This window comes from Homo sapiens, chromosome 7 (genome assembly GCF_000001405.40).
Source record: "Homo sapiens chromosome 7, GRCh38.p14 Primary Assembly".
In the NCBI taxonomy this organism is placed as follows: Eukaryota; Metazoa; Chordata; class Mammalia; order Primates; family Hominidae; genus Homo; species Homo sapiens.
In genome coordinates, this window is record NC_000007.14 from 18,492,113 (window position 1) to 18,504,517 (window position 12,405).

Sequence of the window (12,405 nt, forward strand, 5' to 3'; positions counted from 1 at the left end):
TCACCAGAATGCAGCTTTCAAGATTTCATATTTGAGATTTTAATATTTCGAGATTGTTATTTTCAGGATTGTAGACGTGAGAGATTTTAGACCTAAGGGATTTAGACCTTAGGGATTTTGTATCTTTTCAGATTTCAACATTCAGGATTATGGCATGTGGGATTGTGTCTTTCAGGATTGTGATCTAAATCCATTTTAGAAAAGGTCATTGTGAGCTAGAGGTCTGAGGATATTTCTGGAAATATTTTGGTGCCATACAGGTTTTTTAATACTTTTTTTTTGCTTATATGTCTGCATAGAAAGAAATTGGATTATGGTAACTTTGAAATAACATTTTACATTAGGATTTAATTCCCACTTTCATTTACTATTAAATTGAGAACCTGAGATTTTTTTGGCCCTTGTTACTTTTTTTACCTTTTTCTTTGACCTATGTGTATATAACATATAATATTTGGATTAGTTTGCAATAAATGCTTACTTAATTGAATTTGAATTTGTTACATTGAAACTTTTTAAACTACCCATCTACCTAGCCTGACATTTGTATTAGCTTGTTATAGTTCTTGTAATAGAACATATATCTTTTTCCCCCACATTAGTAAACTGTAGTTTTATAAATACCCCAAAAGAAACTGAGTCACATTTCTTTACTAACATTACTGAGATGATGTGGGAAGAATTAACTCAACATTCTTAATAATGGAAATATGGTAATCAATATAGTTGATGGTTGTTTTGATGATACTTATTTTTCTTCTGAGAAACAAGTGGGGTTTTTTGTAAGTATCCAATGTCTTTTCACTCTAAAATATTTTTTCATTATCAAGAGTTAAATAAAAGAGAAGATGGCTGATGGAAAAACATACTGCAAGAATGCAGGGATGAAACGTAAATAAACCTCATGTTAAATAATGGTCAAAATGAAGAAGACACATTATTTACAGTATTTTATGTGGAATGCCCTTTCCTGGATCCTTTAAGAACTAGGATAATTACTAACTCAGTCTTCTGGAGTTTTATTCTATTTTTTATTTTTTATTATAAAAGCTGAGAGATCTTTTTTTATCAATTGTTGTTTGAAGGTGTAATTTAAACTTAAAAAGACAAAAGATGCATAGGCATATTGTATCAATATGGTGATTTTGTTATCTCTTTTGTATATTCATCATAAATTTTTGTATTCTGTTAAAAATCACTCTGAAACAGACAGTGGGTCCATTTTTCATCAGTAGATCATATTAAATTTTATTTGGAATATCTCAGATAATGATTTGTATCATTTTGGTAAGGGACAAGATGGTGAGACTGGATAATATAAATGCTAGACCTATATGGTTAGTTATTAATTACCTGTATTTCCTTAAGCTACTGTCTTTAAAGCCTGACTCCAATAGTGAGTCCTTTTGTAATCAAGCCTCCTTCGTTTCCTCATGAGTGAATTTCAATGATTGTTTTTCTTAATATAAGAAGTTCTTGTTCTGATCTCACCACAAAAAAAATGGTAACTAGCTGAGATGATAGATTTGTAGCTTGATTATGGTAATTATTTCACAAGGTATAGGTGTATCAAATCATCAAATTGTACACCTGAAATATAAAGAATCTTGATTTGTCAAATATACCGCAATTTAAAAAATGTTCTTTACATAAATGTTTTGTAGAATAAAAAAAAAAAAAGTTCTTCAAAAGAAATCTCAAATCTCCAAATGGAAACAGGTAAAAGTGGAGCTCCCCTGGTTCCACGGAGAACCTTTTTTGAGGAAACTTAGGCAACTCGCAGGTACCTTATGTCATGAGACAGAGTTTGAAAACTACAATTGACTATCTCTAAATTTCCTCCCAGGTCTAAAATGTGATGATAGTTACTACTTCAGTACATCATCCTTAAGGAAAATTATTAGGTCCACACTGTTTCTATCCTTTGAATTTTACACATAAATTTTGTAATCAAAAGTTTATTTGTAATATCAGATGGAATCAGATAATTGCTTTTTGTTTTTTCCACTGACAGGAACATAAGATTTTGTTGTGTAGCTTAAGTCAAACGCAGTTTGGAATATATATTTTTTAAAAATTGTAACTTACATATCCAAATACAATTTTTCAAGAAGTAGAGTATTCAGTAGAAATTAATCTGTGAAAGAAGAGGAATTCAGCAGTGGCCTATTTGATGAATGATTTAACGTGCTTATTTCTTCCCTTTCATCAAAACTCTGTGTCCCCTTGTTTGCCCCCTCTGACTTCATACTCTGGAGTTGACCAAGATCCCTCTTCCATCGGATTGTTCTGGGAATTTTGAAATAATCTGCTTTTTCCTCTCTTTCCCCTGTTGCTTCTGATGCCTTAGAATTACATTTTCCTCGCTGATTTAGTTTAGAAAAGAGAAAAGAGCTTCCATGACTAGTAGATTATCACTTTTGGGTTTGCTCTTGGAAGTGACAAGATGCTAGGATCCCTCTTTGGAATGTAAAATTTATCTCTTATATAGAAAGGATATAAATGTAGCACCAGAGACTATAAAACTCTGATACTATCTACTGTACTGTATAGCTGAACGCCACAATGTGTCTGGTAATCTATTGACTATCATAAATGCTATTTCTACAGAAAAGTTAGGAGGTCCATATTTCGGGCAACCAATGTATAGCTGAATGCAGAACAGTCATAGTTGGGTACTAACCATATATATGATTTATCCATCAACAGGTGCATATGCTCAGAAATTCTGTATCCATAAGAAATCAGACTACTTTCTTTTCCTTTTGCAAGTAAATTGAATTTAGCCTGAGAGGCTGAGGGGAAATTTTCACATATAAGCCACGGTTTTGTGTTTTGTGTTTTGTTTTGTTTATAGATATAGTACTAACTGGATGGATGCGATAAAATTCATAGGTGGTACTAAGATACAATAGGATTTGTGAAATGGACAATTGTCTTGCATAAATAGCAAGTAAAAAATCAAGCCTGTCCTTCATAAAAATTTTATTCTGGGGTGTGCTTGTTTTCCAAAAGTACCTCTGCTAAATCTCCTGTTAGTCCTGAAACTAGAAGGCAGAAAAGCTTCTAGTGCTACAGCCAACTGCAGTGTAGCCTGAGAAACAGGCAACAAAAATAGAACACCAGGATTGCTGTGCGTGGGTGAGGCAGAAACCACATTATGAGCAAAAGCTTCCAGTATTATTTTAGAACCAATACAGAGCTCTGTACTTCTCTCCTCTCTCTTCCAAAAACACATACTACAAAAATAAAATGAAATGAAATGTATGTGCATTTGCCCTCTTAGAATTATGATTCTTAATTTTTTTTCTTGCCTTCCTTTCTTTGGAAGCGAATCGCCAGTATGGAAACACAGTGTGTAAAGCAAGCTTCGAGAGAGGAAAGAGTTAATTGGTTTTAAGGCCCTGCGATAGAGAATTATGGTTGGAAAGATAGAGGCTGGACAGCTGGGTTTGCTGGGGTATTTTTAAATGCATTAATGCAGGCTCCAATCACTCGGCCATGCTTGACCTATTTTTGGCTCAGGCCGACCATTGTTCTATTTCTGTGCCTGTGGGCCATGCTGTTGTTGATTCATATGCAAATGGATTATCACTCGCTTTAGCCAACTTGAGCTGAGAGAGACTGAGAAAGGGGGAAGAGAGGCACAGACACAGATAGGAGAAGGGCACCGGCTGGAGCCACTTGCAGGACTGAGGGTTTTTGCAACAAAACCCTAGCAGCCTGAAGAACTCTAAGCCAGGTTTAATTGGTTTCTTTTTCTCGTGGGTAGACTTAATAATTTTCTACGTATTCTGACAAAGAAATAACCCCGAAGCACGTTCCTATTTCCCACCTGCTTGTAGTTTCCGGGATAACCTAAACTCCAGAGAGCTATAGCATCCACTCTGTCCTTTCTGCTTTGCACACAGGTTGGTAACATGGGAAAAGTGTCCAGGTCTTTTTAAAAGTGGATGCCCATTTGAGCAGAAAGGAAATCATTGTCGAAGTTGATCCTCTGCTGCTTCTCCTCAGGGAGGAGGGAGAACCAGCGAGGGTAGCTCCTGGGGCCGGTGCACTGAGCAGTGATGAATGTTTCATGTAGCTGAAGTAAGAGTGACTGGAATATGCTGCAGACAATTTACGAGAGTGACTCCTGTTTTTCCTCAGATGGGGTGGCTGGACGAGAGCAGCTCTTGGCTCAGCAAAGAATGCACAGTATGATCAGCTCAGGTAAGATCCTCTTTCATAACTGAGACGTTTTAGGTTTGAAAGGGGGCTGGCTTGGGAAATGCAGCTAAGAAAAGCACCTCTCTTAAGGAAATTGCTGCTTTTTCGTGTTGATGTTGCTATTTTCTTGGTGCGTCTGTAGGGTTTAACTTAGATCCCTTCCATTACTGTTTCTGTGCATATTCAGTCTGCTTAGGGACAGCAGCTTCTGAATGAAATTGCAAACTATTGCTTCTGATGAAAGATGAGACTGAGATAAGTAAAATGTAGTTGGGGGTGTTTTGCCTTTACTATGCAACTAGAAAAAGGAGCTGTGTACTGATTGTAAGCCTATTCTAATAGGACTTTAAAAATCAGGTAAGTTCATATTGGGGCTTCAGTTTAAACTGCAGCCCCGCTAGCCTGACGATTTTATATTTACTCTGTGCCTACAGAAGCACATCTATTTATAGACCTACCTTCTAAAATGTGTTTGCCACAGAGTTATAAAGGTAGTTTTCTTTTTTCCATTATGTGGCTTTTTCTCATCAGCCCCAAATGAAACTGTTTAGGATGAAATAAAATTGTTATTAGCAGATGCTTATTTTAATTTTCTTCAAAAACATGTGGGAAGTCTAGCATTGTCAGGCAGATGTGATGGCATAACACACATGTAAATGTGTTAAAAGCAGGTGCAGCGTTTTAAAGGATAATAGGAACAGATTCTAATTTCTAGTTTCTCAAGGAGATGAGCTGGTGGGAGATTGAGCTTGTCAGCCTTGTCAATTTATACTTACTAAATGAACATACTCTCCAGGCAGTATCACTTAACGTGTAATTATTGCCTTTCATATTTATTTCCTATGGCTATTTCCTAAAGCTTTGGGAACTCTTTGTTTCTGTCCTCTTCTGAATGTTTCAACCTAAAATTGGCTTAAAGTTCTCACTTAGATCCCACTTCCCATGTGGGCTTAATCGTAATTATAGATCACCGCCTAGATTTCCATGATAAGAATGCCACATAAAGCAGTGTTTACTTTGTAGAGCTAGGTGTGAAAGAAATATTCCACAGGTTGGCATGATGTCTGTTTTGGTGTTAATACACCTTCCCATATGGGGATCTATGTTTAAAGCTAGTTTTCTTTAAACCTTGGTTAGTTATGTTAATTTTAAGATCCTTCTGTTGACCCAATCTTTTCATGGAATCAGAATAAAATATCAATTTTGCATAATTTGGTATTTATACACTTAAGTGACAGGAATTATGTTAATGAATAGTGCCTGCTTAACAAAAGCAAACCTACCAGAATTTCAGTACAGTTTATTCTTATAGCTGCAAAGCTGACAAGGGCTCCGGGAGGGTTTAACAGGTATGTCTCTAATGGGACTGGTCATTTAACTTAGCATTTTATTTTTTAAAATATGGATGAACCCTTTGAAAATAACTATTTTAGAAATCTTTTCAGCACTATGCTTTATCCTTTTAGTCCTCACTTCTGTGTTACAAGTTTGATATTTTTTTTCATATGGTAGAAACATACATGCCTTCCAAGTAGCAAGTGTCTGCTGAAGCTAAGGCTGGCTACAGGTGTTTGCAAGCTTTGCTTTTTTCTCCACATCTTTGATAATCACATACAGCTTTACACCCATTTCAGTAGAGATTGTCATTTTCCTAGCATTTAATGGTTTGTGTACAAAGCAACAAGATTTTCAGACAGGGAAGTGCTTCAGGCTGTCCATGCTTTGGCCAGTTCTACAAGAAGCAACATTTAAGCAGCAGCTAGCTATTAAATGAAAAGTGATGTAGGTTAACATCAACTCCCAAAACCTGTCTGGTATAAATACATAATCACTAAGTTCTATTTATTTTTAAAATGTGAAGCATAAAAACAATTACACCCTTCCTGCCATGCCATATATTTCATATATGTTCTTAAATTTAATTCACCTAGTCTTTATTGTATACTTCCTGTGAGGCACTGGCTCTCAAAGTTGGACTCACCAGAAGCACTTTACAAAATATGATACCTAGATTCCACTCCCAGAATGCCTGGTTTAATTGGTATGGGGAACAGCCTGGGGATTGAGGTTTTTAAAATCTCCCCACCTTAACCTTCAGCAAACTGAGATTCACTGCTGTAGGGCTAGGGAACAGATGGTGATGCTGGTGAACCACTATCAGTAGGGTTTGTCCTTTGAGCTAACTGCTAAATTAGGGGTATGTTTGTCTTAATTTAGCTACAAATCTTGTTCAGCTCCCTTTTGGACCAGTGGTCTGGACGTGATTCATAGGCTTAGAAGCAGAGTCTTTGGATTTGAAAGAGAGAAAGGATGCCTGGCAGCAGTGCAAAGGAGTGGAGAGAGCACTGTTCTAGGAGTCAGACACTCTGTATTCTAGCATGAGCTCCACTGCTAGCCGATTGTGTACTGATTTTTTTACTCATCTTCAAACTGAAGAATAATGATGTCCTCCTGCTTGCCTCTTAGCATTCTTGTGAGGTTCAGATGTATCAATATGTCTTTAAAACGTATACTCACTATTAGAATTGTTGTTTTTAGTGAATGAACCTAAGATCTTGGTTTTCAATGCCATGTTCTATCTTGCTGAACAAGCCACATGAGTTACATTGTAGGTCACATGGGGGAAATGATTGTTTGTTTTGATAATCAGTTTGCCTTAGTTATCTTATAAATCAACTATTTATTTTGTTACCTTGGTTTGATAAGAGTTGAGATCTTTCCTATGCAGACTATCACTATAGGTAAGAGTAGGGTGTGTATGTGTGTGTGTGTGTGTGTGTGTTCTCTGAAATGTCTCATTATGTAATAAAGGCAAAGAAGTTGCACAGTATGTGATTGAACAGTGAACCCCAATCGCAGATTTCATGAGATTATTTTTAAAACATTGGTTATGTTGTGTAATTTCTTTAGCAATTGCATTAGAGTTCCCATTTGTTGTTCTAGTTATATTGGATATTATGCACTAATATTGATGGTTTTTGTACAGAGCTCTTTATATACTATTGGAATACAAGTTTTTTTTATGGTTGTATGTTTTTTTGATATTGACTCGGCCAGGCTAAACATGTTTGGTAGAACCAGGTTCTATAATATTGTACTAATATATTTTAGTTTAAAGTTCTATAATATTAAATCTTAGAATTCAGTGTGAGTGACACATTTTGTCAAGTACATCCCTACTTTTGTGGCTTGTGTGGGCCAGGGTAAGTGATAACTGTGGCAGAAAGTGAAGCATGTACAAATATTGACTCAGGTCACTCTGCAGGAGCTGGCAGGATTAGGGGTGTTCTCCCATTGCCAAGCATGTTGCTTAACACGTTGGGCAGCAGAGCTGTCCAGACAATATTGGAACAATTATTATGAAGGAATTTCCTAGAGTTTGTACAGAAGTAATGTAAGATATATTTACAATAAGGAAAGCTCATATTTTGGCCATCTATTCTTACTTTAGGGTATAAAAGAAAAACATTTAAATCAAAGTCCTGAAATTCTTTTATATATCTTCACCCTTTTTTGAATCCTTTTGTTCCTTAGTGTATGGTGTTGAGGGGAAGGGAACATTTTAGATTCAGTAGTCACGTCACTTATGTCTACTTGAAAAGCAGAATCTAATTATGAAAATGTAAGTCTGTGAAATGTTCCTGTCATGTCAAGAATCACTTCTGGTATTCCCCATAATTACTGTTTTGCCATTCTCTAACTCAGGTTATCTTCACTTGCAAGTCTGTTATCAATTGAGATAGATGATAGGTATCAATCAGAAATATAATTATAAATGGGCTCATTGAGAATGGAGACAAGAATGAGTATTTCATATTTCTAAGGATGACACAGGAGGCATAATTATTGTTATGTCCGTTAAGTAAGAAAATCCAATAAAACCCCTTGGAAGACTGAAATAAATCCAAATTCTGAATTCAAAAAATATTCTAAATGATGATTTTAATTTTGGAGATGAGCAATTTTAAAATGTGCCTCATAATTTCTCACTACTGATAAATAATGAAGTGAGCCCAAAATAGCATGTCAGCCAGCAAACATACCTTCCATCCCTGTCACCCAATATATTCAACAGTAACTGAGCAAAGAAAATGATATAACCTAATGCAACATACCTCAGAGGCTAACAGCCAAGGCAAAAATGGATGCAGAGGTTCTTTGATCATAACAGAGAGACCTGTCTCCTGGGCTGTCTTAGAATTTTACTGGCAAGTTGACCAGTTCCTGAGGATTCTCACTAAGATTCCCAAATCTGAAGAGAAGAAAACTGAGTAGGTATCCTCACCATTTTGGGTTGTTCTTGTTTTCTCTTGTGGCTGAGAAATAGTAGAAATGAAGGCTTCAGAGCAGCGTACTAAATTGGGAGAAAGATCGATCCATAGCTCTTTGGAATGACGTACCTTTCACCAACTAAACTTAGAGATTCTGCCAAGAAGAAAAACATCAACTCATTGAACCCATGGAATTAGACGTCTTAGTATTGCTTCCTACAAATAGAGCACCTTACATAAATTTTATATTAAAAAAAGCTGAAAGGTGAGATGATAAACAAGAGAATGAGATGAGAAAGGAGATATAGATCTCAGGAAATGAATCAAGAATGGAAAATCATAATGATTATAGAAAAAAATATTCATTAGAAATAGAAGAAAACAGAATAGGCCCAGGTAAAAATCTTTACACATAAAGATGAAAGGTTTGAAAAAAATCAGAGTAAATGAAAAAGGAAAACAGTTAGACAAAGTAGAAATTCTCAAACATGAAAGAGGCTGCTTGACAGTGAAAGCCACACAGTGAAGAGATGAACTTAAAACAAACAAAAAACTAAATTCAGAAGTAGAGAAAACATTATCAAAGTAACGAGGGAACACTGAATGCATTTAAACAACTATTGGATTGTGTTTATAGGGCAGAAAACAGATATTATAAAGTAGGGGAATGTAAAAATATTAATAAAGCTGGCCAGTGTGAGGTGTTAGAGAGAGGTGAGATGGAAGGATGTGAGAAATGCTAATATCCTTCCCTTTCTGAGCAGGGACAGACTCCCTGCTGCTTAAAATAGAAACACATACTTAAAAAAAAGATTCAAAGCACTGATTTTTAAAAATAGTTTATTTAACCTTAAAGAGGTCTTTTTGGAAATAGTATCTCTTACGTTAAGGAAGTATTTAGTACATTTATAGTTCCTTCAACTGCAGTTTTAAATCTGCTTAATTCAGTTAAGTTTAAATTTAAATTCAGTTAAGTTTAATTTCAGTTTTTAAAAATAAATATAACATCAGTGATATGTTCTTATTTTTATAATTTTTTAAATCTATCCATCCATCTCCTGAAGAATTCATATAAAGATAGGAAGAAATAAGGAAAGATGCTGTGCTGTGTTTGGTGAAGAGGAGGGGCTTTTTCTTTCAGCATCATACCTCTTTACAGTGTATGATTTTTTATAATAGGCATGTATTCTATGAGAAGTGTTCATTACACACCCCCACACAAAGCTACCATGTCAAAATACTAACAGTGATTAATTGTAAGTAGTAGGTATATTAGTTAGGTTGTTTTCTCCTGCAGATAAAAGAACACTCTAGTCAAAATGACAGACAAGTAGGACATTTATCATGTGATAAAGTAGTTGGGTGGTTAGGCAGCACCAGGTAGTCAAAAATGGCAGCAGCATTCAGGTCCTTCATATAGCTCCACTCTGCTGGTCTTAGCCTTGGTTGGTGTGATCCTAAGATTGGATCCTCCAATGGTCACAAACTGACTTGTAGCAGTTCCAAGCATTATGTATGTTTATGCATAACAAATTGCAGAGACAAAGGTTGGATCCTCCAATGGTCACAAGTTGACTCGTAGCAGTTTCAAGCATCATGTTATTTATGCACGACAAACTCCAGAGACAAAGAGGGGAAACTGCTGTCTTGGCGTCTCTTTTAAAGGAAAGAAATCTTACCCAGACTTCTCCAGCAGATCATCCTTTATTCTATATTGACTAGAATAGCATCACCTGCCTATTCTTTCACTTGTTTTTCAGAGGAGTGGGACCCATGACTGAGCTGGGAAGGCAGGATACCTAAACCTGCTCAAGTTTCTATTGGGAAGAACCAAGAAGCAGGAGGAATAGATGTTAGCTAGGCACTAGCAGTATTTGCTACAACGTGGATATTGGTGATAAGAAGTTTCTTCTTTGCAATTTTATTTACTTTTTAGTTTCCACAAATATAATAAAGTAAATGGACTATGTTTATAATTTCCCTTTCAGTTGAACTATGGGTGTTGACTTTCTTTTCATGAAGATAATATATCTGTTTAAATACTAATGTAAGTATTTTTTACTAGTATTGAATATAAGTTTTTTATTAATATTGAATAGATTGCCTTTCTTAGTACTGTCTATTGTTAGAAGAAGCCCCCTAATAAAGAGACTGAAGTAATTGTAGAAGAAACTGGATCTCTCTAAGCTATTAATCATGTTTTCTGAAGGAAGGAGAGTCAACATTGTGGCCTCATGCCTTACAAGCATTTATTATAAACGTGAATAGAGTATTCCTTTAATGTTGGCTTCGAGGCACACAAAATTTTTTTTGAGAAATATAATAATATATGAATTGTTTTCAATATATGAAAGGAGGATTATCTTAAAAATACTCAGAATGTGTTCGCCAGTAGGTTGTCACAAGTATTACATTTTAAGAATCATGAACAATTTTTACAATATGGAATGATAAGCACTACATTTTAACATTTTTTTTCTGAATTTGAATGCTTTGAAAATAATTTAATTGAAATAAAAGCTCATGCAAATGACTTTAGAAAAGAAGCTTTCAAGAAGAAATTCAAAAATATGTTGGCCTCTGCCTCAAATGAGTGTTGGCTGTGCCATGGTCCCCCCTGTTTTTGAAAGGAAGCTGAAGTGAGTGGTTAGCTTGGGATATGTGGTGTCCTTCCTGTTGGCAGTTTTCCCCTTTTCTTTTCCCAGTAAGTTGGCAATAAGGAAGCAAAGAAAGAGGAAATGCCTGGTGTTCCTAGTTCCATTCTTCTTCAACTAAGTTGGTTGCACAAAACAAATTTAATTTAAACAACATTTTTCACAATACTAAACGACCTACACTTTCAAGTGTTATCAGAGAACGTTATGTTTAGGTTTACTCTGAGTTGCTATGATTCATGAATATAAGAATAAATACTTCTTGTGTTTTTATAAGAATATATTTTCCATTCATTATCATAATGTTAACTTTTCCATAGTAAAATAAGTGATGGGCTTTTCGTGTACAGTGTTTCTTAAATACCCATTAATTAAATCCAATGAAAACCACTTTTAAGGAAGAAAGAAATTTACCAAACCACAGAGTGTAACTAGTCATTTGCTTATGATTAAACTTTTTGCATGCTGATAAGGTTGGAAATACCCACGACTTTATTTTCCTGCTTCTCCTTATGGTTCACCACTTGTATCAGAAACTTTTAAATTCATAATGTATGTTCATTATTGACCCAGTTGCAGCCATGTGGATGTTATTTTCAATTTGCTTGAGGTACATTTTGGTGAATGTCTAAGGCATGACATTTTCAAATGAGAATGTCATGAAGTTGTTTCAAAATTTGAAACTTGATATTAAAAACAAAATAAACCCCCCAAAATCCAGAAAACAAAAAATAAGTAAATTTCACTGAGTTTTCATTAAATGACATCATAGCTTGGGAGTTCTTGCTTTAGTAAAAATGTGTTTACCCAGAAGGTTTTCAGGGAACCCCATGTAGGGTGAATAAGAAAAAGCTCTTGTGTTAAGCACTGTTTTAACTTTATTCTTGATGATGCTTTTGAAATCTCATAATCAAAATTCAAGGGTGTATTTTAAGTACATGATTTTTACATTAGGAACTATCCATTTTAAGTTAGAAAGTTATCACCACCCGTTTTTGTTTTTTTCTGTCATACTCCTCTCTGATCTTCTAGTTGCTTAGTTCCAATTTTATTTTATTTTGTTTTGTTCTGTTTTTTGAGACAAAGTCTCACTCTGTCATCCAGGCAGGAGTGCAGTGGTATGATCTTGGCTCACTGCAACCTCCACCTTCTGGTTCAAGTGATTGTCCTGCCTCAGCCTCCCAAGTAGCTGGGATTACAGGCATGTGCCACCATGCCTGACTAATTTTTGTAGTTTTAGTAGAGATGGGGTTTCGCCATATTGGCCAGGC

General features: G+C 35.4%; 1 protein-coding gene across 38 annotated transcripts in view, besides 1 other annotated feature; it reads left to right on the top strand.

The window, feature by feature from the left end:
• HDAC9 (histone deacetylase 9) overlaps window positions 1-12,405 on the top strand; it is a 915,592-nt gene that overhangs the window by 405,288 nt on the left and 497,899 nt on the right. For 13 of the 38 annotated variants that reach the window (NR_135835.2, NM_178425.4, NM_001321877.2 and 10 more), the window contains exons 1-2: window positions 3,637-3,911; window positions 4,150-4,212. Coding sequence is in view for 33 of the 38 variants with exons in the window: in NM_178425.4 (NP_848512.1) it covers window positions 4,191-4,212 (22 nt within the window). In the remaining 5 variants the exon portion in view is untranslated. Of the gene's footprint in view, window positions 1-3,597; window positions 3,912-4,149; window positions 4,213-10,468; window positions 10,528-12,405 lie in introns of those variants that run through there. The other 25 variants (NM_178423.3, NM_001321898.2, NM_001321902.2 and 22 more) reach the window with 7 other exon arrangements.
• Window positions 3,366-3,415: an enhancer, noted in NCBI's record as "active region_25680". NCBI's record gives its function as "activates an Ori minimal core promoter by ATAC-STARR-seq in GM12878 lymphoblastoid cells {active_cell/tissue: GM12878}" and the evidence as "EXISTENCE:reporter gene assay evidence [ECO:0000049][PMID:35858748]".